Here is a 27,324-nt window from a genome sequence, read left to right on the forward strand (position 1 = left end):
TGCCAATAAAGGTAATTGGTAGGTTTTACACCTGCCATTTTGCTATGTGCTTTATATAGGTCTTATGCCAACTTTGTTCCTTTGTTCCTCCATTACTGCCTTCTTTTGTGTTAAATGTATTTAGTATGCCATTTTAATTCCCTCAGTGTGTGTGTGTCTGTGTGTGTGTGTGTGCGCGTGTGTGTGTGTGTGTGTGTGTGTGTTTTTATTATAGGGCAGGTCTACAAATAGAAAATTCTCTCTGTTTTTATCTGAGAATGTCTTGATTTCTTCTTCTTTTTTTTTTTTTTTTTTTTTTGAGACAGGGTCTTGCCCCGTCACACAGGCTGGGGTGCTGTGGCACAATCATAGCTCACTGCCACCACAGTCTTCCCAGGCTCAAGCGATTCTCCCACCTCAGCCTCCCAAGTCATTGGGACTACATGTGCACACCACCACACCAGCTAGTTTTTCTTTTTTTTTTTCTTTTTTTTTTTAAATTTATTGTTGTAGAGATGGGGTCTCGCTATGTTGCTCAGGCTAGTATCAAGTTCCTGGGCTCAAGCAATCCTCCCATCTCAGCCTCTCAAAGTGCTAGGATTACAGACATGAGCCACTGTGCTTTGCAGTTTCTTTAGTTTTGAATGGTAGTTTTGCTGGCTGTAGGATTCTTTGTTGATGGTCTTTCATTTCAGACTTTGAATATTTCTGCTGTCTGCCTTCTGGCCTCCACTATATCTGATGATGTCACCTTTTCATATTATTGAGGGTTGTTTGTTGTTTTTCTCTTGTTGCTTTCAAGATTCTCTTTATTTTTGGCTTTTGACACTTTTGATTCTAATGTGGCTCTATGCGAATCTCTTTGATTTTATCCCCTGTAGAGTTTGTTGAGCTTCTTGGCTGTGTAAAGATTTTTTCATCAATTTTGGAAAGTTTTTGCCCATTATTTCTTCCCATTTCTCTTTCTCTTTTCCTTCTGGCACTACCACTGTGTGTGTGTTTATACCCTTAATGATGCCCCACAGGTATCTGAGGCTCTGTTCATTTGTCTTCATTCTTTTTTCTTTTTGTTTTTCCTACTTGAGATAATCTCAGTTAACTTGGCTTCAAATTTGCTGATTCTTCTGCTAGCTCAGATCTGCTGCTGAGCCCCTTTAGTGAATTTTTCATTTCAGTTATTGTATTCTTCAATCCTAGAATTTATATTCGGTGTACTTTAAGTAATTTCTACCCTTTTTGTTGGCATCCTCTATTTGGTGAGTCATTGTTCTTACACTTTCCTTTAATTCTTTAAGTGTGATTTCCTTCATTTCTTTGTTTAAAGTATTTTCCAAGCAAGTCCAATGTTTGAGCTACCTCAGGAAAAGTTTTTATTTACTTCTTTTTGCCCGTGTATGGGCCATACTTTCCTATTTTTTTATATCTTATAATATTTTGTTGAAAACTGGACATTTTAATTAATTTGGCAACTCTGGAAATCAGATCCCTTCCCCACATCCCCAGGGCTTGTTATTGTTGCTTTTTATTGCTTTATGTTGTTGATGATGCTTGTTTCTTTTTTTAGTGACATTATTGGACTCATTGCTTTTTGGGGTTTTTTTAGACAGGGTCTTGCTGTATTGCTCAGGCTGTAGTACAGTGATGTGATCAGAGCTCACTACAACCTTGCCTGGACTCAAGAAATCCTCCCACTTCAACCTGCTGAGTAGCTTGGATTACAGGCATGCACCACCACATGCAGCTAATTTTTTAATTTTTTGTAAAGATGGGGATCTTGCTATGTTTCCCAAGCTGGTTCCAAACTCCTGGCCTCAAGTGATCCTGTTGCCTCAGCCTCCCAAAGCACTAGGATTACAGATGTGAGCCACCATGCCTGGACCCATTCTTTAATATCTGTATTTTTTAACTATATGCAGTCACTAAAGTCTCCATGCAGTTAGTTAATGATCAGCTAATAACTGAACAGATATTTTCTTAAATGCCTTAAATCAATAACTCTCCGCATTTTGTAAAGTGTTTTTTTTATGTGTATGTGTTGGGGCTCACTGTCATTGCTCCAGCACTTTTCAGTTCAGCCATAGCCTTCACTTCCTGCTTGCCCAGAGCCTCAAGGTCAGCACAGGTGAGAGATTAGGCCTTCTCAGGCCTTCCCTAGGAATGTGCACAGCCCTGCACTCATGTGTGGCCTTCTAGATTCCCAGGAATATGTCAGAGCTTTTCAAGGCCCCCTATGGATATTTCATTCCTCAGATTTTCCTTATAATTTTTTTTTTTTAGCCATTCTCTGGTTTGCCCGAAATGACATGGCTGCTTCATGCAGCTGGGATGTTAAATTATATGGGTTTTTTTTTTTGTTTTTTTTTTCTCTCCAACAAATGCCTTGGGTATAGAGTTTTCCTCACTGAGTGAGCTCTGAGTCAGGTTAAATTAAGACAAGCCCTATGAATGGAGTTTTTCCAGGAAGCTGCCAAGCAGGTCAAATAATAACAATTCTGGGGGGTCAGGACTTTTTGTAGGAGTTCCAAAACCATTCTGTCCCTTCTAATGGCTGCTAGGCTCTGGTTTTCATGACTTTCATGATTCTACAGCAGCTTGTTTTTAAGGCTACTGTGGAGGTGGGAGGGGAAGGGAATAGTGCAAGTTAAAAATGCAACAAAACTCATTGTTATTATTCATCCATTTTTCTTTTTTTTTTTTTTTATTGATCATTCTTGGGTGTTTCTCGCAGAGGGGGATTTGGCAGGGTCATAGGACAATAGTGGAGGGAAGGTCAGCAGATAAACAAGTGAACAAAGGTCTCTGGTTTTCCTAGGCAGAGGACCCTGCGGCCTTCCGCAGTGTTTGTGTCCCTGAGTACTTGAGATTAGGGAGTGGTGATGACTCTTAACGAGCATGCTGCCTTCAAGCATCTGTTTAACAAAGCACATCTTGCACCGCCCTTAATCCATTTAACCCTGAGTGGACACAGCACATGTTTCAGAGAGCACAGGGTTGGGGGTAAGGTCATAGATCAACAGGATCCCAAGGCAGAAGAATTTTTCTTAGTACAGAACAAAATGAAAAGTCTCCCACGTCTACTTCTTTCTACACAGACACAGCAACCATCCCATTTCTCAATCTTTTCCCCACCTTTCCCCCTTTTCTATTCCACAAAACCGCCATTGTCATCATGGCCCGTTCTCAATGAGCTGTTGGGTACACCTCCCAGACGGGGTGGTGGCCGGGCAGAGGGGCTCCTCACTTCCCAGTAGGGGCAGCTGCCGGGCGGAGGGGCTCCTCACTTCTCAGACGGGGCGGCTGCCGGGCGGAGGGGCTCCTCACTTCTCAGACGGGGCGGCTGCCGGGCGGAGGGTCTCCTCACTTCTCAGACGGGGCGGCCGGGCAGAGACGCTCCTCACCTCCCAGACGGGGTCGCGGCCGGGCAGAGGTGCTCCTCACATCCCAGACGGGGCGGCGGGGCAGAGGCGCTCCCCACATCTCAGACGATGGGTGGCCGGGCAGAGACGCTTCTCACTTCCTAGATGGGATGGCGGGCGGGCAGAGACGCTCCTCACTTTCCAGACTGCGCAGCCAGGCAGAGGGGCTCCTCACATCCCAGACAATGGGCAGCCAGGCAGAGACGCTCCTCACTTCCCAGACGGGGTGGCGGCCGGGCAGAGGCTGCAATCTCGGCACTTTGGGAGGCCAAGGCAGGCAGCTGGGAGGTAGAGGTTGTAGCAAGCCGAGATCACGCCACTGCACTCCAGCCTGGGCACCATTGAGCACTGAGTGAACGAGACTCCGTCTGCAATCCCGGCACCTCAGGAGGCCGAGGCTGGCGGATCACTTGCGGTTAGGAGCTGGAGACCAGCCCGGCCAACCCAGCGAAACCCCGTCTCCACCAAAAAAATACGAAAACCAGTCAGGCGTGGCGGCGCGCGCCTGCAATCGCAGGCACTCGGCAGGCTGAGGCAGGAGAATCAGGCAGGGAGGTTGCAGTGAGCCGAGATGGCAGCAGTACAGTCCAGCTTCGGCTCGGCATCAGAGGGAGACCATGGAAAGAGAGGGAGAGGGAGACCGTGGGGAGAGGGAGAGGGAGAGGGAGAGCGAGAGCGAGAGCGAGAGCGAGAGCGAGAGCTCTTTGTTTCTTACAGAGCGTACATGGGACTCATCCATTTTTCTTGAGTAAACATTTCTTGGATTGTCACAAGCCTTTGGTTAACCAGTATTAGCCACCCCATTGCTTTCATGGACAAGCAGATTTTCAGAGGTCTTTACTCTGCCATTCCTAAAGTACCTCTCCCATCATCGTGTTCTTAATATCCAAAAAAGCATGTTCTTACAATCAAACGCTCAGGGGCCATGCCCCAGAAAATGAAGCCCATGGACTCAGTCGGACACCAGTTTGGCTAGACCTTAGTCTGTCCCATGCTTTGGGCTTTGTGGGTATAAAGTGGGTATAGAGCTGCTTTGGGCACTGTGGGTATAGAGCTACCTCTGTTCTGCCCAGTTTGGGTCTGCTTCCATCTGGCCTGTGAGAGTACCCAGAACTCACTCTCATGTAGCCCTCTAAGAGAGAAACAACTCACAGAGAGAACCAGATCTAACTCACTGGTCCCACCCATTGTCATGATCTAGTGGCGGCCAGGAGTGGCCTATTGAGGAGATGCATATTGTGGTGGTGGTGTCTCACATCAGCTTTCCTCTGCTGTCAGGAATTTCTGCTGAAGATTTTTTGCGTGTTCCGGAACCTGATGAAGATGAGTGTCTTCCCTCGGGACTGGATGGTAATGAGACTGCTCACAAGCAAGTAAGTATGGAAGGGCTCTGTATCAGCATCACTGAGCTGTTCTCAGACTAAGAAGAGTATGTGTATTTCAGAGAGGGAGCACATGAGCAAGACAAATAAAGGCCAGGGCCATGGGAACAGAGAGGAGAGGGCAAATGAGAAAAACATTTTTGTGCTTAGTAGATGATGGCACAGTAAGGATAGAGAAGAAAATTTTCAGGATGTGAAATATAATATCCAGAGAAGGGTTCTTCCTTGAGGAAGGCCTGCTCAGTGGCCCACTGGCCTCTGCTGCCCTATAGGTTTGGGCATTATCCCAAGCCTTCTTCTCAGTTTGAATTGTGTTGTCTACCAGGCAGTGCTTGCCTCCCATAGACAGTGCCAGTTATCCACCTGAGACCTGGCTGCAAGGCTCTGACCACTTCTGATTACTGACATAGAATTTACTCTAAAGATAATCCTAACCTGACTGCCTCATTTATATTTCTAGCTTGTGCTTCCTCCTGGCAAACCAGACAAATGATGCATGTGGTAAGGGGCTGGCTCATCTGGTCTCTCTCTATTCAGCAGAAGGCTACTTGGCCTCCACACTCTAGCCCATTGCCTCCTCCCACTGATCTGCCTTTTATATTGACATATAAAATACAGTGAAAGTGTCTGTTAGATATATTAGCAAGATACTAGCATGGTCTTTCCACTTTACACCTTTTATAAGCACTGTAACTTTTTCCAAAATACAAATGTTTTATAAAGAATAGAAGGATGATTGTAAACAAAGTTGCACAGATACTTCCTCAAATAGTGACTTTTCCATTTGAATCTTTCTTGTTTCTATCTCTTAGCTCCATTCAGAGCACTTCAGGCTCCCCAGCTTGTCCTGCAAGAGCAGCTTTTTCTTTCAAAGCTTTGACCCTTTAAATTTTTCACCCCCTCTAGTGGTGGACTAGTCTTTCTAATGCACTGTTTTTGTCATGTTCTTCTGCATCTAAGCAGAGGTGGCCACTGTTAGATGTAAGTCTCTTTGCCAGGTAGCCAAGGCCCTATGTAATGAAACGTACTGTCCCACTAGACTTCCTCTCCACTTCACTCTCTTGTTCCAGCAGGACAGCCTCCCATTGTCCCTTCTATGTGCCCAGGCTGAGATTGAGAGTGATTACTCAAGCTAGACCAAAAGAGCTGAATTCAAATGACACATAGATGAAAATAATAGTATATGACAAAAGCAAAGATTTATTAACTATATAAACCCCTGTTATCCAGTATAATAATAAAATTATGTTCTAAATCCTACAAAGTGATCATAATATCTCTTGATTACCCAGAGATCCCCAAAATACTAGAACTACTCTGAACTGGGAGAAACCTTAAAGAACCATCGATCTCCTACCACCTTTTATAGGCAGGGAAAATGAGACCCAGAGAGAAGTATGAAGGCCAGGTAATGACAGAACTAGGTCTAGAACCCACTGATGTCCTGTGCTGTCCTGCCAACTGTGGGGCATTTCTCCAAGACTGGTTTTCTGTAGAGATTTTTTCTATAGAGTTTGTACCATTTTCTCTTTCCTTTATAGTCACATCTTACATGGGAACAAATTGTACTCAAGAAGTTTGCACACAGGCTATAGACAGCTGATACCAAGCCATCAGATGCCATTGTTAGTCTTTTAATTCTGCCAATGCCTTGTTTCCTTACTGCAGTATTATAGTCACTACTGTCCAGTACCTGTCCTCTGCACTGCACAAGAATTTCACAGAGACTGACTTTGACTTTAAGGTAGGCACTCCTGAAATATCCATCACTATTATTGCAATAACCTTAGAAAGCCAAAACCAAGCTCACTTGTTTTTTGCTTTATTAATAGATTCATAGTATCAAACAGCTTCCAAGCCTGATGATGATTAGAATATGACCTGGGATACCCCTGTTGGAAGTGTTGGTAGCCAAACTCCATGAGTATGCTTTCTAGTCCAGAATCAACACAATTGGCTTCAGAAGGAGTTAAGGGGGAAAAAAAGAAAAATTCTTGTTTGCAAAGATATTTAAAAGGGAAAAAAAATGAGGATCTTAAGATTGTAAAATGGGTTCTATGCTACATGCATGTATTTAGTAACGCTCCCTACAAGATTAAGTTCTTAGACTGTCACATTTTCTCTTTCTCTGTCTGTCTAGGTGTGGAATTCTTACTTTAGCCTGGCAGTTCTATTCATAAATCAGCCAAGCCTTCAGCTAGAAATTATCACCTCAGCCAAAAGGAAGAAGATTCTAGATAAGTAAGATAAACGTCTTATATTCATCTCCTTACCACTTGGCCAAATAGGGCTATGTTTCGTTGAGAGTTCTTTCAGAGGTCCACAAGGTTCTCAGCTGGGTGGTTTCCCAGGGGCCCAAGTGTGGGAGTTCAGTCGAGAGCCCAAAGGCTTAGCGCATTGGGAAGCATTAGAAACAAACAGTGCTGAAGTCCTGGCCTCATGGGTTTGCAGCCCTATCCTCCTGAACCTTCTCCCACTAACGGTTGGCTCCTGTGTTACTATTCTTAGGTATGGGGACATGCGTGTAATGATGGCCTATGAACTGTTCAGCATGTGGCAGAATTTGGGTAGGTTTTTTCTCCCTATTCTTCCCTTCTATATATTGCATAGCCAAATAGAAAGTAGCAAGACTAATAACATCTCCCAGGCTTTATGAATGTTAATTCAGGCCCAAGAGATCCTTACATATCTTTCACATAACACCTCAGATGGATGGTGTAGCACATGTGCATAAAGCCCTTGGCAAGGAGAGTTTGTCTGAGAAATAAGACCTCAGTAATACATATGCCAAATCCCTTTTTTTAGGAACTAAAGTCAAAAGAAAAAAAAGAAAAGGAGGGCTGTAGTAGTTTTTTCCAATTTGAGAACCCATTCCTATAAGATCCTCCATGCTCTTCACTTCCCAGTCTGGATGTTGCAGGCTCAAAAGCTTAGATCTGAGATACCCAGTACATGAGCAAAGGTGGCTATTAATTTTAATAAAGATTGAAACATTTATTGGATCTCTGGTATTCATGCATCCAGATCAGATACTTGACACCAGTTGCATGGAGTAACATATAAGAAGAGAACTGCAACCTCTGGGTGAGATCAGTTTTGGCTTCCCTTCTTTGCACAGCTTCTGCTTTGAATGCTTTGAAAATAGCCACTGCTTTGAATCTAAATTTGTCAGATCAGTGTTTTTGGTAGAATTTCTGGGTTGCCCTGGTGACTGAGTGGGCCATCCTGTGATATTGTAGAGTTCTGAGTGGCCTGTCAAGATGCTGGAGAACTATTATTATTTCAAGTGAAGTCTGCTTTCAGCTGAGCTCATGGTTCTGAAGCTGTAGGAATGATGGTCATAAAATCTCCAGTCCTCTGTTAACCATCCCCACCACTAACCTAGAGGCAGCAAGTAGGATATGAAGTATTTCTGCCGGCGAGAGGGCCTTCTATTCATGAGTGGGGATGCATTTCCCCAATCAGACTTTCCAACACTCTGGTTCCCTGTATCCAGCACAGTTTGGAAATGGATTTTAACCCAAAGTTGACTCTGAAATTCCCAGGAATGCAAGAGACTGGCTACTGTGCCAAGTACCAAAATTGGAATATGCTGAACCAGCCTCAGGGCTAAACATTTGCTTCTTAGAATTTTTTTTAATACCAGATTTGCCTGATAAAGCCTTTTCTGCCTCATTTCTTTTGGTGGAAATGACATTCTCTGGTCCCCAAGAAATGGTTTTACTTGGCCGTAGCATTCATTGCACAGACCCACAGTTTATCTCCTCAATAGTCTCTGAAGGACTGAGAGCAGAGCTCTGAAAGATGGTTCACTCTGTTTTACCATTGCAAGGAAGAGAAAAATCCTATCCCACCATCCACAGGACTGTCTCTGGCTTCTGGTAACATACCCTAGATGGCACGCCAATGAGAGGGAAACCCACATCACACACTTACCATGGAAATGCTTCATTAAGGAAGTTGAGGGTTGAGCTGAGCCAAGTAGGTGTAATGGCACCATCAGAAATGCAATATGAACACAAAGGGAGTTCAGGGTGGGTAAAGAGAGAATCTCTAAGCCAGCCTTTTAGGGTAGGGCTGTGCAGGAGACTCCTGCTAGCTCAGGAGGAGGACTTCTTTGGCATACATGAACATAGGCAGTGTAAAAATCCATGGACTTATTAGACGTCTGGTGGCTAGACCAGGGACTGGATATCCTCATCACTTAAATGTCTCTGGGCTAGAGCTAGAAACTCCAAGGAGAGTGCATTGTATTTAAGCAGAAATATTGGGTTTTTCTTGTTAAATAAACACTGTGAATAGACCATCTGACACTCATAGGTTACTCAGAAACCTATTCTGTCTAGAGTAGCAAACTCTGTTCCTTCATCTCAGAGAGATTTTCAGGTAGTTTGTGGGACTGTCAGGAAATTCTTTGGAAAAGCAGTTTTGTGACAGTTGCGCATTTGCTTTCACTGGGCTAGGCCAACTTTATCCATAAACTCTAAAAAGTTGAGGGAGAGTACCTCAGAAAACCATAGGGGAGAGCTTGTTTTGCTCTCAGAAGCTTCCAGTATGGATTGTAGCATGTGTTGTGGCCCCATTTGGGAATCTTCCATGGAAGGAGCAAAGCAGGCATAAACTAATTTGGGTTTTGTTTTTCAGGTGAACATAAGATCCACTTTATTCCGGGAATGATTGGTCCTTTTCTGGGTGTGACACTGGTCCCACAGCCAGAAGTACGGAATATCATGATTCCCATCTTTCATGACATGATGGACTGGGAGCAGAGAAAAAATGGCAACTTCAAACAGGTAAGACACCTGGCAGTGTTCGGGGTATTCTCTGGAATGGATCCCTTCTGCTTAGGCAGGTGGCCTAGATGACCAAGCCATGATTCTAGTGGGGATGGGCTGTAGTTTGGCTAATTTGAATCCTGTTCAAGGGTTTTCCCTTACTTGCTGGCCAAAATTGATTTGTGGATTTTCTCCATGAAGTTAGAGGCCAGAAAATAATGAGGCCAGGAAAGAATGAACATCACTATAACTTTCTGATCAAGGAATGATTGAGACTGTAGCCTCCCAGTTTCAATCATGATAGGGCCCTGGGAGTGTGATGTCATTCCTTTACTGAGGATTTTCACTGTATAATCCAGGCATTTCTAGGGCTGCAGCCCAGACCAGATGACTTCTCATGGCTCAGGGTAGCCCAGCATTTTATAGACTACTGCACAGAGGGGTTGGTCCAGGAGATACAGGCCCCTTGGCTTCCAACTGAATGGCTTCAGGCTGTCCTCCTGTGTAGTTCTTTTGCCACCACTAAGTGTAGGAGATGGCCCCTGCCTTTATATCTGTAGCTCCAGGGGATAGTACCAGGACCAATAGGGGCTAATGATGAGGAAGCCAATTTTAGCTAATCAAATAAATAACTTGCTAACAGCAAAAACTGTCCACTGTAAGCAGGCCTGCTTTGGGAGATAGAGATTTTCTCTCTTGGCAGATGATCTTCAAGCAGAAGCTCCCAGGAAACCTCTAGGGGAATTTTCTGTATTGGCTTGGGAATTGTACCAGTTCCCCACTAAGCTCCTTCCGAGCCTGTGATTCTGGGATGAACCAGTGGTCTATTTAGAATAGGTGACTGTAACAGTGAGAAGTAGACCAGGCAAACAGTAATTTTTAAATATTTATTTATTTTTAAATTTACATAGAGTAAAATGTATTCTTCTTGATTTACAGTTCTATGTGTTTTGGCAAATGCATAGTCGTGTAACCACTACCACAATCAAGAGTTTTTGAATACTTAAAAATTCAGTCTTGCTGTCTATTTGTAGTCAAACCCTTCCCCTGTTCTTAACAAATGCAACCATAGGTCTGCTCTTCATCACTATAGTTGTGCCTTTTCTAGACTGTCATATAAATGGAATCAAGCAAAGTGCAGCCTTTTGAGACTGGCCCCTTTCACTTAGCATAATGCTTTGAGAAATTAATCCATGTCACTGCATGTATCAGTAGCTTTTCTATGCTGAGTAGTATTTAGTTCATTCATTCACCATTTGAAAGACATTTGGGTTATTTCCTCTTTTGTGGATTATAAATAAAGCTACTAAAAACATTTCTTTACAGGTTTTTGTATGCATATAAGCTTTCATTTTTCTTGAGTGAATACTTAGGAATAGGATTGTTGGGCCTTGTGACAAGTGTGTAATTAGCTTTCGAAGAGGTTCTCAAACTCTTTTCTAAAATAGCTATACCATTTTGAAGTCTCAGCAGCAGTATATAATCGATTGCTCCGCATACTAACCAGTACTTAGTATTATCTGTTCGTTTGTTTTAGCCATTCTAATAGGTGTGTAGTTGTATATCATTGTGGTTTTCATTTCTATTTCCCTAGTGACTAATGGTGTTGAGCATCTTTTCATATGCTTATATACCATCTTTATGCTTCTTTGGTAAAATGAGTTCAAAGCTTTTGTTCATTTTCATTTGAGTTGCTGCTTTCCTTATTGTTGAATTGTAGGGTTCTTTATATATTCTGTATGTAAGTCCTTTGTTGAGCATATGATTTACAGATATTTTCTGCAAATCTTTAGCTTATCTTTTCATTTACTAAACAATATCTTTCTTAGAACAAAAGTTTTTAATTTTTATGAAGTCCAGTTTGTCAATGTTTTTCTTTTATAGATCATGCTTTTGGGGTCATACCCCAAGAACTTTTTCTTAACATAGGGCCACAAAAATTTTTCTCCTGTCTTTTCTTCTAGAAGTTTTATAGTTTTACATTTTAAATTTAGATCTATGATCTATTTTGAGTTGATTTCTGTATAAGGTATGAAGGATGGATCAGGTTCTTTTTTTTATTTTGCAACAAGATGTCCAATTATTCCAGCATCTTTTGTTGAAAAGAGTATCCTTTCTTCAGTTGTCTTTCTGCCTTGGTCAAAAACCAATTGCCAAAAAAAAAAAAGAAAAACAAATGGGTTTGGACAAGGAGAAGCTTAAAAAAAAGAAAAAGAAAAAAGACCTTTGAAACTTTGTATTCAAAGTTAGGAGGAGTAAGCTTTAGTGAGCTATTGCACCACGTGGTAACTATAGTTAATAATAATGTATTGTACAAAAATTAGCCAGGCGTGGTGCCACGTGCCTGTAGTCCCAGATACTCAGGAGGCTGAGGCAGGGGAATCACTTGAACCCGGGAGGTGGAAGTTGCAGTGAGCCAAGATCGCACCACTGCACTCCAGCCTAGGCAACAGAGCGAGACTCCATCACAAAATAATAATAATAATAATAATAATAATAATAATAATAATAATGTATATTTAAAAATTGCTAAAAGAGTAGACTTTAAATGTTCTCATTGCAAAAAAAAATTAGGTGAGGTGACAGATATGTTAATTAGCTTGATTTAATCATTTCACAATGTATACATATATCAAAACATCATATTGTACTCTATAAATAGATATAATTATTGTCACTTAAAACTACTTAAAAAATCAATTGACCATATTTGTGTGAATCTCTTTCTAGACTCTAGTCCTTCCGTAGATCAGTATGTTTATTCTTTCATCAATACCACGCTATCTTATTATAGTAGCTTTATAGTTAGTCTTAAAACCACATGGTGTGAGTCTGTCTTCCAGTTTTGTCCTTTTTTTTTCAGTATTGTGTTAGCTATCTAATTCTTTTTCCTTTTTTAAATAAATTTAGAATCAGCATGTCGATATCTATAACATTCCTGCTGAGATTTTGACTGGGATTGCAGTGATTCTATAAATCAAATTGGGGGCCGGGCACAGTGGCTATGCCTGTAATCCCAGCACTTTGGGAGGCCAAGGCAGGTGGAACATTTGAGATCAGGAATTTGAGAGCAGCCTGGCCAACACAGTGAAACCCCATCTCTACTAAAAACATAAAAATTAACCGGGCGTGGTGGCAGGTGCCTGTAATCCCAGCTACTTAGGAGGCTGAGGCAGGAGAATTGCTTGAACCCAGGAAAGGGAGATTGCAGTGATCTGAGATCGCACCACTGCTCACCAGTCTGGGCAACAGAGCAAGACTCTGTCTCAAAAAAATTATATATATATCAAATTGGGAAGAATTATGTCTTAATAGTCAATGAAAACAGTATATCTTTCCATTTATTTAGGTGTTCTTTTATTTCTTTCATCAGTGTTTTGTATACAGATCTTACACATATATTATTAGATTTATATGTATTTCCTGTTTTTTGGTGCTCTTCTAAATAATTCCATGCAACTGAATGATGTTGATTCCTTGAAAAAATTTTAGACTCCCTTTATTGTCAAGTATGCAGCATTTCAAAAAATTGTTCTACATGAACTTGAAAACAATGGGTATTCTGTGGGTGAGGGAGTAAAACTTACGTTTATCTAGTAGCTCAAGCTCCTTAATTATATTGTTTGAACTTCTGTAGCCTAACTAATGCTTTGCTACTTGATCCATTGGTTTTAAGAAAGTTCAATTAAAATGTTCCACTTTGTTTATATAAATATATAAATGATTGCAATTTTTAAATTTTATTTTTGTTTCTAGGATATAGAAATTCAACTGATTTTTATATATTAACATTATATCCTGTACCCTTGCTAAATTTACTTATTAGTTCTGGAAGCTTTTTTGCAGATTCCTTGGGATTTTCTATTTAGACAATCATGTCATCTGAGAATAGAGTTTTATTTCTTCCTTTCTACTCTATATATCTCTTATTTTTCTTGCTGTATCACATCAGCCAGGACCTCCAGGATGATGTTAAATAAGAGCAATGAGAAACTTGCTTTGTTCTTAGGAGAAAGTATTCACCAGTGTTTTACCAGTGAATATGATACTATCCTTATGTGCTTCTCCTATTAAACAAATAAATAAATATGATACTAGCTCTAAGTTTTTTATAGATTCTTTTTATCATGGGTAAATAGTATTTAAGATAAAACAGTTTGGGAGTGTGTAGCTCTAATGCCTCCAGGTCTTTGGGAAATAATAACTTCAAACAAAAAAGGAACTGTTACTTTTCTGTATTGTTACAACTTGTGCCTTCTAAATGTGCAAAATGCACAACACTTGATAAAAAAAAAAAAAAAAACCCAGTTACCAAGAAGTGGATGACATTGCAGAGCTATGCAATGGCTCTGAGTCAGCTGAAGATGGGGCTGGGTTACATTCCACCATCACTAACACTGACCAGCCTAAAAATACTTTTTCTAATTATAGAACAATATTTATTTATTGTAGAAAAATGTAAAATGCAATAGTGGGCCAGGTGTGGTGGCTCACACCGGTAATCCCAGCACTTTGGGAGGCTGAGGCGGGTGGATCACAAGGTCAAGAGATCCAGACCATCCTGGCCAACATGGTGAAACCCCGTCTCTACTAAAACTACAAAAATTAGCTGGGCGTGGTGGTGTGTGCCTGTAGTCCTAGCTACTCAAGAGGCTGAGGCAGGATAATCGCTTGAACCTGGGAGGTGGGGTTTGTAGTGAGCTGAGATTGCACCACTGCACTTCACCCTGGCGACAGAGCGAGACTCCATCTCAAAAAAAAACAAACAACAACAACAAAAAAACGCAATAGCTATAATGAAAAATTTTAACCCATAATCCTACCATTGTTAAGAACTTGGAGAGGAGGCAGTTTATGTCTTTTTTCTTCTCAATACATAGGCTTTTTTTAACTTAGAAAATGAAATTGTTAGAGGGCTGGCAAGATGGCCAAATAGGAACAGCTCTGGTCTGTAGCTCCCAAGATCAACACAGAAGGCGGGTGATTCCTGCATTTCCAGCTGAGGTACCCAGCTCATCTCATTGGGACTGGTTGAACAGTGGGTGCAGCCCACAGAGGGCGAGCCAAAGCAGGGTGGGGCATCACCTCTCCCGGGAAGCACAAGGGGTCGGGGAATTCCCTTCCCTAGCCAAGAGAAGCCATGAGGGACTGTGAACTGTGCAATCCGGCCCAGATACTGCACTTTCCCCATGGTCTTCACCACCCACACACCAGGAGATTCCCTCCAGTGCCTATGCCACCAGGGCCCTGGGTTTCAAGCACAAAACTAGGTGGCCGTTTGGGCAGACACCAAGCTAGCTGCAGGAGTTTTGTTTTTGTTTTTTTTTTTCATACCCCAGGGCACCTGGAACGCCAGTGAGACAGAACCCTTCACTCCCCTGGAAAGGGGGCTAAAGCCAGGGAGCCAAGGGGTCTGGCTTGGTGCATCCCACCCCCACGGAGCCCAGCAAGCTAAGATCCACTGGCTTGAAATTCTCACTGCCAGCACAGCAGTCCGAGGTCGACCTGGGACACTCGAGCCTGGTTGGGAGAGGGGCTTCTGCCATTGCTGAGGCTTGAGTAGGCAGTTTTACCCTCACAGTGGAAACAGAGCCACCAGGAAGTTTGAACTGGGTGGAGCCCACCGCAGCTCAGCAAGGCTGCTGCGGCCAGAATGCCTCTCTAGATTCCTCCTCTCTGGGCAGGGCATCTCTGAAAAAAAGGCAGCAGCCCCAGTCAGGGGCTTATAGATAAAACCCCCATCTCCCTGGGACAGAGCACCTGGGGGAAGGGGCAGCTGTGGGCACAACTTCAGCAGACTTAAACGTCCCTGCCTGACGGCTCTGAAGAGAGCAGCGAATCTCCCACCACAGTGTTTGAGCTCTGCTAAGGGTCAGACTGCCTCCTCAAGTGGGTCCCTGACCCCCATGTCTCCTGACTGGGAGACATCTCTCAGTAGGGGCCAACAGATACCTCATACAGGAGAGCTCTGGCTGGCATCTGGTGGGTGCCCTTCTGGGATGAAGCTTCCAGAGGAATGAACAGACAGCAAACTTTGCTGTTCTGCAGCCTCCACTGGTGATACCCAGGCAAACAGGGTCTGGAGTGGATGTCAGCAAACTCCAGCAGACCTGCAGCAGAGGGGCCTGACAGTTAGAAGAAAAACTAACAAACAGAAAGGAATAGCATCAACATCAACAAAAAGGACGTCCACACAGAGACCTCATCTGAAGGTCACAAATATCAAAGACCAACGGTAGATAAATCCACGAAGATGGAGAGAAAACACTGCAAAAAGGATGAAAATTCCAAAAACCAGAATGCCTCTTCTCCTCCAGAGGATCACAACTCCTAGCCAGCAAGGGAACAAACCTGGACGGAAAATGAATTTGACGAATTGACAGAAGTAGGCTTTGGAAGGTGGGTAATAACAAACTCCTCCAAGCTAAAGGAGCATGTTCTAACCTAATGCAAGGAAGCCAAGAACCTTGAAAAAGGTTAGACGAATTGCTAACTGGAATAACCAGTTTAGAGAAGAACATAAATGACCTGATGGAGCTGAAAAACACGGCACGAGAACTATATGAAGCATGCACAAGTATCAATAGCCAAATTGATCAAGCGGAAGAAAGAATATCAGAGATTGAAGATCAACTTAATAAAATAAAGCAAGAAGACAAGATTAGAGAAAAAAGAATGAAAAGGAATGAACAAAGCCTCCAAGAAATATGGGACTCTGTGAAAAGACCAAATATACGTTTGATTGGCGTACCTGAAAGTGACAGGGAGAATGGAACCAAGTTGGAAAACACTCTTCAGGATATTATCCAGCAGAACTTCCCCAACCTAGCAAGACAGGCCAACATTCAAATTCAGGAAATCCAGAGAATGCCACAAATATACTCCTCGAGAAGAACAACCCCAAGACATATAATCGTCAGATTCACCAAGGTTGAAATGAAGGGAAAAATGTTAAGGGCAGCCAGAGAGAAAGGTCAGGTTACCCACAAGGGGAAGCCCATCAGACTAACAGTGGATCTCTGCAGAAACCCTACAAGCCAGAAAAGCCAGAAGAGAGTGGGGGCCAATATTCAACATTCTTTTGTTTTTGTTTTTGTTTTTGTTTGTTTTGAGATGGAGTCTTGCTTGGTCGCCCAGGCTGGAGTGCAGTGGTGCAATCTCGGCTCACTGCAAGTTCTGCCTCCTGGGTTCATGCCATTCTCCTGCCTCAGCCTCCAGAGAAGCTGGGACTACAGGTGCCTGCCACTATGCCCGGCTAATTTTTTTGTATTTTTAGCAGAGACGGAGTTTCACCATGTTAGCCAGGATGGTCTCAATCTCCTGACCTCATGATCTGCCCACCTCAGCCTCCCAAAATGCTAGGATTACAGGCATGAGCCACCACGACCAGCCAACATTCTTAAAGAAAAGAATTTTCAAGAATTTCGTATCCAGCCAAACTAAGCTTCATAAGCGAAGGAGAAATAAAATCCTTTACAGACAAGCACATGTGGAGAGATTTTGTCACCACCAGGCCTGCCTTACAAGAGTTCCTGAAGGAAGCACTAAATATGGAAAGGAGTAACCGGTACCAGCCACTGCAAAAATATACCAAATTGTAAAGACCATCAACACTATAAAGAAACTGCATCAACTAACAGGCAAAATAACTAGCTAGCATCATAATGGCAGGATCAAATTCACACATAACAATATTAACCTTAAATGTAAATGGGCTAAATGCCCCATTTAAAAGACACAGACTGGCAAATTGGGTAAAGAGTCAAGACCCATCGGTGTGCTGTATTCAAGAGACCCATCTCACATGCAAAGACACACATAGGCTCAAAATAGAGGCATGCTTACCAAGCAAATGGAAAGCAAAAAAAAAAAAGCAGGGGTTGCAATCCTAGTATCTGATAAAACAGACTTTAAACCAACAAAGACCAAAAGAGACAAAGAACTGCATTACATAATGGTAAAGAGATCAATGCAACAAGAAGCACTAAGAGACAAATAACTGCATTACATAATGGTAAGGAGATCAATGCAACAAGAAGCACTAACTATCCTAAATATATATGCACCCAATACAGGAGCACCCAGAATCATAAAGCAAATTCTTAGAGAACTACAAAGATACTTAGACTCCCACACAATAATAGTGGGAGTCTTTAACACCCCACTGTCTATATTAGACAGATTAATGAGACAGAAAATTAACAAGGATATCCAGGACTTGAACTCAGCTCGGAACCAAGTGGACCTAGTAGACATCTACAGAACTCTCCACCCCAAATCAACAGAATATACATTCTTCTCAGCACCACATTGCACATATTCTAAAATTGACCACATAATTGGAAGTAAAACACTCCTTGGCAAATGCAAGAGAATGGAAATCATAACAAACAGTCTCTCAGACCACAGATTAAGAAACTCACTCAAAACCGCACAACTATATGGAAACTGAACAACCTGCTCCTGAATGACTACTGGGTTAATAACAAAATGAAGGCAGAAATAAAGATGTGCTTTGAAACCAATGAGAACAAAGACACAACGTACCAGAATCTCTGGGACACATTTAAAGCAGTGTGTAGAGGGAAATTTATAGCACTAAATGCCCACAAGATAAAGCTGGAAAGATCTACAATTGACACTCTAACATCACAATTAAAAAAACTAGAGAAGCAAGAGCAAACAAATTCAAAAGCTAGCAGAAGACAAGAAATAACTAAGATCAGAGCAGAACTGAAGGAGATGGAGACACACAAAAACCCTTCAAGAAATCAATGAATCCAGGAGCTGGTTTTTTGAAAAGATCAACAAAATAGAATAATAAGAGCTATTTATGACAAACCCACAGCCAGTATCATAACTGAATGGCCAAAAACTGGAAGCATTCCCTTTGAAAACCGGCATAAGACATAGATGCCCTCTCTCACCACTCCTATTCAACGTAGTATTGGAAGTTCTGGCCAGGGCAATCAGGCAAGATAAAGAAATAAAGGGTATTCAAATAGGAAGAGAGGAAGTCAAATTGTCTCTGTTTGCAGATGACATGATTGTGTATTTAGAAAACCCCATTGTCTCAGCCCAAAATCTCCTTAAGCTGATAAGCAACTTCAGCAAAGTCTCAAGATAAAAAATCAATGTGCAAAAATCACAAGCATTCCTATACACCAATAACAGACAAACAGCCAAATTATGAGTGAACTCCCATTCACAATTGCTACAAAGAGAATAAAATACCTAGGAATACAAATTATAAGGGATGTGAAGGACCCCGTCAAGGAGAACTACAAACCACTGCTCAAGGAAATAAGAGAGGATACAAATAAATGGAAAAACATTCCATGCTCATGGATAAGAAGAATGAATATCATGGCCATACTGCCCAAACTAATTTGTAGATTCTATGCTATCTCCATCAAGCTACCGTTGACTTTCTTCACAGAATTAGAAAAAAACTACTTTAAATTTCATATGGAACCAAAAAAGAGCCTGCATAGCCAAGATAATCTTAGGCAAAAAGAACAAAGCTGGAGACATCATGCTACCTGACTTCAAACTATACTACAAGGCTACGGTAACCAAAACAGCATGGTACTGGTACCAAAACAGATATATAGACCAATGGAACCAAACAGAGGCCTCAGAAATAACAACATGCATCTACAACCATCTGATCTTTGACAAACCTGACAAAAACAAGCAATGGGGAAAGGATTCCCTATTTAATAAACGGTGTTGGGAAAACTAGCTAGCCATATGCAGAAAGCTGAAACTGGACCCCTTCCTTACACCTTATACAGATATTAACTCAACGTGGATTAAAGACTTTAAATATAAGACATAAAACCTTAAAAACCCTAGAAGAAAACCTAGGCAATACCATTCAGGACATAGGCATGGGCAAAGATTTCATGACTAAAACACCAAAAGCAATAGCAACAAAAGCCAGAATTGACAAATGGGATCTAATTAAACTAAAGAGCTTCTGCACAGCAAAAGAAACTATCATCAGAGTGAACAGACAACCTACAGAATAGGAGAAAATTTTTGCAATCTATCCATCTGACAAAGGGCTAACATCCAAAATCTACAAAGAACTTAAATTTACAAGAAAAAAAAAACCCTATCAAAAGGTGAGCAAAGAAGATGAACAGACACTTCTCAAAAGAAGACATTTATGTGGCCAACAAACATATGTAAAAAAAGCTCATCATCACTGGTCATTAGAGAAATGCAAATCAAAACCGCGATGAGATACCATCTCACACCAGTTAGAATGACAGTCATTAAAAAATCAGGAAACAACAGATGCTGGAGAGGATGTGGAGAAATAGGAACATTTTTACACTGTTCGTGGGAGTGTAAATTACTTCAACCATTGTGGAAGACAGTCTGGCAATTCCTCAAGGATCTAGAACCAGAAATACCATTTGATCCAGCAATCACATTACTGGCTATATACCCAAAGGATTATAAATCATTCTACTATAAAGACACATGCACATGTATGTTTACTGCGACACTATTCACAATAGCAAAGACTTGGAACCAACCCAAATGCCCATCAATGATAGGCTGGATAAAGAAAATGTGGCACATATACACCATGGAATACTATGCAGCCATAAAAAAAGATGAGTTCATGTCCTTTGCAGGGACATGTATGAAGCTGGAAACCATCATTCTCAGCAAACTAATAAAAGAACAGAAAACCAAACACTGCATGTTCTCACTCATAAGTGGGAGCTGAACAATGAGAACACATGGACACAGGGAGGGGAACATCACACACCAGGGCCTGTCAGGGGATGGGGGGCTAGGGGAGGGATAGCATTAGAAGAAATACCTAATGTAGAAGACAGGTTGATGGGTGCAGCAAACCACCATGGCACAGGTATACCTATGTAACAAAACTGCCCGTTCTGCACATGTACCCCAGAACCTAAAGTATTAAAAAAAAAAAAAGGCCAAAAAAATGAAATTGTTGTGTATATTGGTTTGTAATATCCCTTTTTTGGTAGCAACTTGTCATGACTACCTCTTCATGTGAATTAATGCTCCCCTATACTACCCTGTCAGTTTAGAGTCTATATGGTATTCCATTGTATGGCTGGACTGTAATGTATTTTGTTAAGCTCCTAATTTTATTTTTTTTAATTTTTTTTTTTTTTGAGACGGAGTCTCGCTCTGTCACCCAGGCTGGAGTGCAGCAGCATGATCTCGGCTCACTGCAACCTCTGCCTCCCGGGTTCAAGTGATTCTCCTGCCTCAGCCTCCTGAGTAGCTGGGATTATAGGTGCATGCCACCACACCCAGCTAATTTTTGTAGTTTTAGTAGAAACTGGGTTTCTACTAAAACTGCAAAACTATCAGCCTGTTGGTCAGACTGGTCTCGAGCTCCTGACCTCATGATCTGCCCACCTGGGCCTCCCAAAATGCTGGGATTACAGGCGTGAGCCCCCACGCCTGGCATGTTTTGTTGTTGTTGTTGTTGTTGTTGTTGTTGTTGTTGTTGTTGTTGTTGTTGTTTTGAGATGGAGTTTCCCTCTTGTTGCCCAGGCTGGAGTGCAATGGCATGATCTTGGCTCACTGCAACCTCCTCCTCCCAGGTTCAAGCAATTCTCCTGCCTCAGCCTCCCAAGTAGCTGGGATTACAGGCGTGCACCACCATGCCCAGCTAATTTTTTTTGTATTTTTAGTAGAGATGGGATTTCACCATGTTGGTCAGGCTGGTCTCAAACTCCTGACCTCATGTGATCCACCTGCCTCCATCTCCCAAAGTGCTGGGGTTACAGGCATGACCCACCTCTCCCAGCCCCTAATTTTAGCAACTCAGGTTCATTCCAAATTTTTGTTGTTAATATTGCAAAAAACATTTATTCTCATTTTCTTAGGTAAATTTCTCAACCTGTAATCACTGGATCAAAGAGTCAGAAACCTTTCTTGAGTTTTTACAGCACGATTTTTTGAAATCCAGACTACCTTTTCTGTGTATGTTCCATCTAAGCAATCACCGTGCTGAGCCGTGTCAGCTGTCATACCTGCCTCCTCTGCCAGATGATGGGCTCTTAGGGACCAGGATTATTTCTTGTGCATTTTTATATCTCAGAACCCACCATGGTGCCTGGGACATGGTAGGCTCATAGAGATGAAAATCAAAACTAGCATTTATTGAGTGCTTCCCAAGATCCAGGGCACAGTGACACCAAAGAGGAATGTTACCACCATTCCTATTTCACAAATGTAGAAACTTGGGCTTAGAGAGGTAAATATCAGAACTATGCAGCTCATTATATCACAGGACAAATATTTGTTGAATGAAGATGTCACTTCAGGAATATTGTTTCTATGGAATAAAAGTAACTGCAAACTTGATGGTCAGTGTCACTAATTATGACAAAATATGTTTGAAGAACTTATTATTTTGTTTGACTTACAGATGTTGATTTTGCATGCATTGATATTCAGTGTCCCATGTTTCAGATTTCTAGATTTCTCCTAATAACTTCTCCTTTATGAGCTCTGTAGGGGTGATTAAGTAATGTCCCCCATATCCTTCCATCACCAGCTTTTTTTTTTTTTTTTTTTTTGAGATGGAGTCTCACTCTGTTGCCCAGGCTGGAATGCAGTGGCACAATCTCGGCTCACTGCAACCTCCACCTCCTGGGTTCAAGTGATTCTCCTGCCTCAGCCTCCCAAGTAGCTGGGACTATAGGCAGGTGCTACCACGCCTGGCTACTTTTTTTGTATTTTTAGTAGAGATGGAGTTTCACCATGTTGGTCAGGCTGGTCTCAAACTCCTGACCTCAGGTGATCTGCCCGCCTCAGCCTTCCAAAGTGCTGGGATTACAGGCATGAGCCACCACACCCAGCCCCATCACCAGCTTCTTTGCCTAATACAAAGTTCAAAACACTTGAATAGGTATCAGAAGCACGTGGAAGATTCATTAAAGCACAACTTGTGTGCTCCCACCCTGAGTTTCTGATCCAACAAACTAGAGGAGGCCTGAGAATTTTAATTTCTAACAAGATCTCTGGTAAAACTGCTGCTGCTGGCCCAGAGACCCATTTTGAGAAATATTTAGGCGCCAGTGGACTGTTGTACCCTGTTTACACTGTTGTACTCTCTGCTGCTCCAGGTCCCCTCCCCACATTTTTGCTCTGTTCTGAAGGCACAATCTACCTATACCACCATGTGTGAAGAGAGATCCCTTGTTATAATCAGGCCCGTCTCTTGGGGGCCTTTTAGCCAGCAGGTTGACCCAGTGAGGCAAGAAAAGCTCTGAAGTGGGACTAATCCACCTTGGCTTCTAGATGCAGCTCTACCTGACTTGACATAACCCCAGGCAAGTTCCTGCTTATGCCTCTTCTCTACACAAAGAGAGTGAGACGGCTTCAATCCCTAAGGACCCCAGGTCTCAGACTTTCTGTTTCTTCTCAAATGTATATTCAAGCAACTCACTCATCCCTGCCCTGGCCATGTAGCAGACCACTATTAAAAAAAAAAAAAAAAAGAGAGGCTATATTTATTTCTCTGTCCTCATTTTCTGGTCATCGGACTTCAGAGGCCCTAACTGCCTTCATTGAATTTACTAATTCAGTTATTCTTTTATTATTTCTTAGCCTTAGGATTCTTTGCTCTCTGTAGAGTGAGAAAGGCTTCTGTTTATAGTACATTATTTCATGCAGCCATACCATGGCTTTTTTGTTTATATGAAATAATAAATAATATCACAGTACCACAGTTTAAAGGTTAACAAAGGGGTCCAGTACGGTGGCTCATGCCTGTAATCCCAGCAGTTTGGGAGGCTGAGGCAGGTGGATCATCTGAGGTCAGGAATTCAATACCAGCCTGGGCAACATGGTGAAACCCCATCTCTACTAAAAATACAAAAATTAGCTGGGTGTGGTGGTGCGTGCTTATAATCCCAGCTACTCAGGAGGCTGAGGCAGGAGAATCACTTGAACCTGGAAGGTGGAGGTTGCAGTGAGCCGAGATCGCGCCTGTGCACTCCAGCCTGACATAGTGAGACTCCATCTCAAAATAAATAAATAAAGGTTAATAAAAGGTTAAAACAATTTTATATCATATCACTTACAACCAGTTTCTCACCTCAAAGTGAATCCAGTGAGACCTATTAGAAAAGTGGCTGAGATCAGGATAAATAGTCAATGCATCTGAGGCCTAATACCTAGGTGATGGGTTGATAGGTGCAGCAGACCACCATGGCACATGCTTACCCACGTAACAAACCTGGCACAGGTACCAATCAATCAACAATCAAACAAACAATCAAGCACGGGTATCCCCTGAACTTAAAATTAAATTAAATTTAAAAAAAAAGTGACTGAGTACTGCTGAATGCCCTTGCAAATCCGTGGGGTAGGAACAAATATAGTCTTGCTCCTTATGATTTAGGTATCCAATAACAAATGCAGGGGCCCGGTGATGGCCCAGTGATAGGAACAGCAGCCTCAAGGGCTCTAGGTTCTGTGAGTACAAACAGTAGAGCCTGTTATCCTGAAGGAAATTGGCTGGAGGAAACACTCAAATCTCATTTAGCTCCATTTAATGCCAGTCATTAGAGTGAGGACAAGCTCCCCAGAAAGCATCCTTTTTGACTGGCTGACTACAGGGTAAAGTTCTAACCAAATGTATTTTACGCATACAAATTCTTTTGAATTAATGTTTTTAAAGGGGGAAAAAAACATCTGAAAAAGGCCTCTTTTGAATCCAAAGTACTTTTCTCTGTAGGGAATCCTTGCCTTTTGCCCTTAGATTGGAAAGAGTACCTGAGACTTTTAAGTCCTATCTCTTTTTCAAACCATTAGGGTGGGAGGCCTTTTTGATTTGGGGAGCAGAATGGTTTCTTGGTGCTATAGGTAAAATACTACCTTCCCTGGGATTTCTTTGGAGCAAGGACAGGATCAGGAAGTAGTTTCCCACCATCCTCACCCACCACAGGAACTGGATTTCCCATTCTTTTTCTGAGGTCATCTCAGGTTTATGAAGTCTCTGCTTCCTTCTAGGTGGAGGCCGAGTTGATTGACAAGCTGGACAGCATGGTGTCAGAAGGGAAAGGTGACGAGAGCTACAGGGAGCTCTTCAGCCTACTGTAAGCTGCTCCAGCCCCAGGCACACCACACTGGGGGATGGGATGAAGTGGGCCAATGAAAAGTAGAGGTTGCAACTGCACTGGCAGGCTTTAGAGGTTGGTCATCAAGAGGGACCTGGGTTGTTCCTGATGGTAGCAATGCTCAACTTCTGTCAACAAGAAACCAAGGTCTTTCAGGGATTCCCATAGTTGACTGAAAAGATAGAAAACAGGTAATCTCTGAGCTCCTGGATTTGCTGACAGGAAAAGGATCATTGCGTGTCTTCATAACATGCACTGCATCTGGATGGGGGGCAGACGGTTCATGGAGACTCAGTTCTGGGCTCAATGCTGGCATTTCAAGGTGGGGGATAAATCCTCCTTTGAGAGACAGGTTCCTGTTTGCCCTGCTTTGTAAGGTAGTACAATCAGCTCACATTGCAGTGAGCTCTTGAACAAGCTGCAACACTCTTTCCAGGCCAGTTTTCATGTTTGTGGAATGAGATGGTTGTACTGAATGATGTCAGGGTTCTTCTGGATCCTCCATTCCATGGTTTCTGGCTTGAGTTGATGGAGGCCAAGAGACCTGAAGAGAGACCCAGGGGAACTATGGCCCTCCCAAGTAGATAGTGATGTTGCTATTTTATCTTCCTAAAAAATGAAATCTTAAGATATTTATAGCTCTAGAATACCCTCCCCATCTTACTTATTTCCAACTTTGAGATGTTCTTTGTTTTAGTACCATTTTGAAGACAAACCTCTAGCATATTTTTTCAGGAATAATACTATCCATTTGCTTAGAACTTTCCAGTGTGCAAAATGTATTGGCATTTCTTACCTTATTTGATCATCACAACATACCTGCAAGGTGTGCAGAGTAGAAATTATCTTCCCTCCCACTTGAGAGATAAAGAACTGGGCTCAGGGAAGTGCCAGCCTGCACTCAGTTGCATGATCAGTAAGAGGCAGCTCTGGAAGGAGGGCCCAGATCTTCTAATTTAAAAAGGGGGGAGTCTCCCCTATACTATGCCCATTTTGTTTCTTGAGGAGTCATGAGGTAAAATGTAAATTTATTTTTAATTTAAATAATTACAATTTGTGAAAATGAATCCATACTTTAGTATTTCTTTTTTAGCCGAAGATTTGTCTAATTGTGGAAACAAGGCAGTGTTCCTTGGCCACTAACAAATGACTACTACAAAGGAAAAAGTACAAAAATAATCTGTAATTACTAATTACCTGACCAAATCATGTTTATAAGCTCTTTTAAAATCAGTCTAAGAACTGAGAACCACTGATAACATGGAGCAGCATTTTCCAATTTGTGTTTTTGGAAGATGTTTGTAGGTATGCTAAAAAAAAAAAAAAAGTAAATCATGGGTGAATTAGTTTAGAAAAGATTCAGCTAAGCAAAATTGAACAAGCCTCTTTATTGTAGGACTTCTCAAAGCCTTTGTTGTGCAAAAGGATATGAGCTGGGTGCAGTGGTACGCACCTGTAATCCCAGCTACTTGGGAGGCTAAGGTGGGAGGATTGCTTGAACCCAGGAGTTCGAGACTATCCTGAGCAACATAGCAGGACCCCATCTCAAAAAAGAAAAAATAAAGGATATGAAAAATCTCCAAAAGGAGGGTATAGTGATCAGCATTTCCCAATTTTCCATGCTTGTGTGCTCACAGAACATTTCCACCTGTCCTCTAGGACAGAGACCTCTGTAGAACACATTTGAAAAATGCTGGTACATTTCTCAACGGATAAAGCCACAGAAGTCAGATTCAGTGTTCTTACCTTCTCTAACAACAGGAGTCACCTGGAAAACCCTCACTTTCTCAGAAGCCTGGCCTAGGCAGTATGCTCTGTGCAAGGAGACAGTCATCATTGTAGCAGCAGCATTAACAGCAGTCAGGCTGTGGGTTTGAGTCCCCAGTGCTAGACCCCTAACTGGGTCTGCCACCCCAGGTGACTCTCATGACCTTAGAGAGCAAGGAATAGTGTGGAAAGGAATCAGGAATAGGGTTGTATGGAGTGAAGGATGGACCTGGGCTCATCACTGGAACAAGCAGAAAGAGTTCAGGTCATTGTCCATTAGGAAAGACCTGTGCGATGGCAGAGGATCTCAGAAGCCAGGCTTTTGGAGAAGCCAGGGGCTGCCCTGAGGTACCAGGAGCATGGGGTTGTCAAGTAAGAAAAGAACCTGGACATTTAGCTCCTGGCTCTGGCACATTTTGCTTGGGAGCATTCCCTGTGACAGTAGGATGGCCAAGTATAGCTCCTGGACTTGCTCACTTTCCCTCATGTTGGGGCCCCAAGACTAGTGGAATCTTTCCCTTAGTTTCCATGAAGATGATGGGTTTAAGCTGGGTATGGTGGCTCATGCCCATAATCCAAGCACTTTGGGAGGTCGAGGCAGGAGAATCACTTGAGGCTAGGAGTTCAAGGCCAGACTGGGCAACATAGCAAGACCCCATCTTAAAAAAGAAAGATTAAAATTTTGAAAAACAGAGCTTGGTGAGGATGGCTCTGGGCAGTGATAAAGACAGTCAGCCATTGGCAAAGTCAGGCTTATCCCTCAGTGGGCTCTTGTTCAACTACTGCTTCAGAACAGACCTCAACTACTCCTTTAGAACAGAAGAGAAGTGAGTTACAGTGTATGCCTAAGGTGGCTGGAGCCGAACCCCTC

General features: G+C 42.3%; 1 protein-coding gene across 28 annotated transcripts in view; it reads left to right on the forward strand.

Moving 5' to 3' along the window:
* DOCK3 (dedicator of cytokinesis 3) overlaps positions 1–27,324 on the forward strand; it is a 709,272-nt gene that overhangs the window by 630,632 nt on the left and 51,316 nt on the right. For all 28 annotated transcript variants that reach the window (XM_005264914.4, NM_004947.5, XM_006713010.4 and 25 more), the window contains 6 exons: positions 4,674–4,768; positions 6,446–6,521; positions 6,918–7,018; positions 7,286–7,344; positions 9,422–9,570; positions 24,580–24,665. In XM_005264914.4, the coding sequence (XP_005264971.1) occupies positions 4,674–4,768; positions 6,446–6,521; positions 6,918–7,018; positions 7,286–7,344; positions 9,422–9,570; positions 24,580–24,665 (566 nt within the window). The remainder of the gene's footprint in view (positions 1–4,673; positions 4,769–6,445; positions 6,522–6,917; positions 7,019–7,285; positions 7,345–9,421; positions 9,571–24,579; positions 24,666–27,324) is intronic.

The sequence above is a fragment of the Homo sapiens genome, chromosome 3, assembly GCF_000001405.40.
Source record: "Homo sapiens chromosome 3, GRCh38.p14 Primary Assembly".
NCBI lineage: Eukaryota > Metazoa > Chordata > Mammalia > Primates > Hominidae > Homo > Homo sapiens.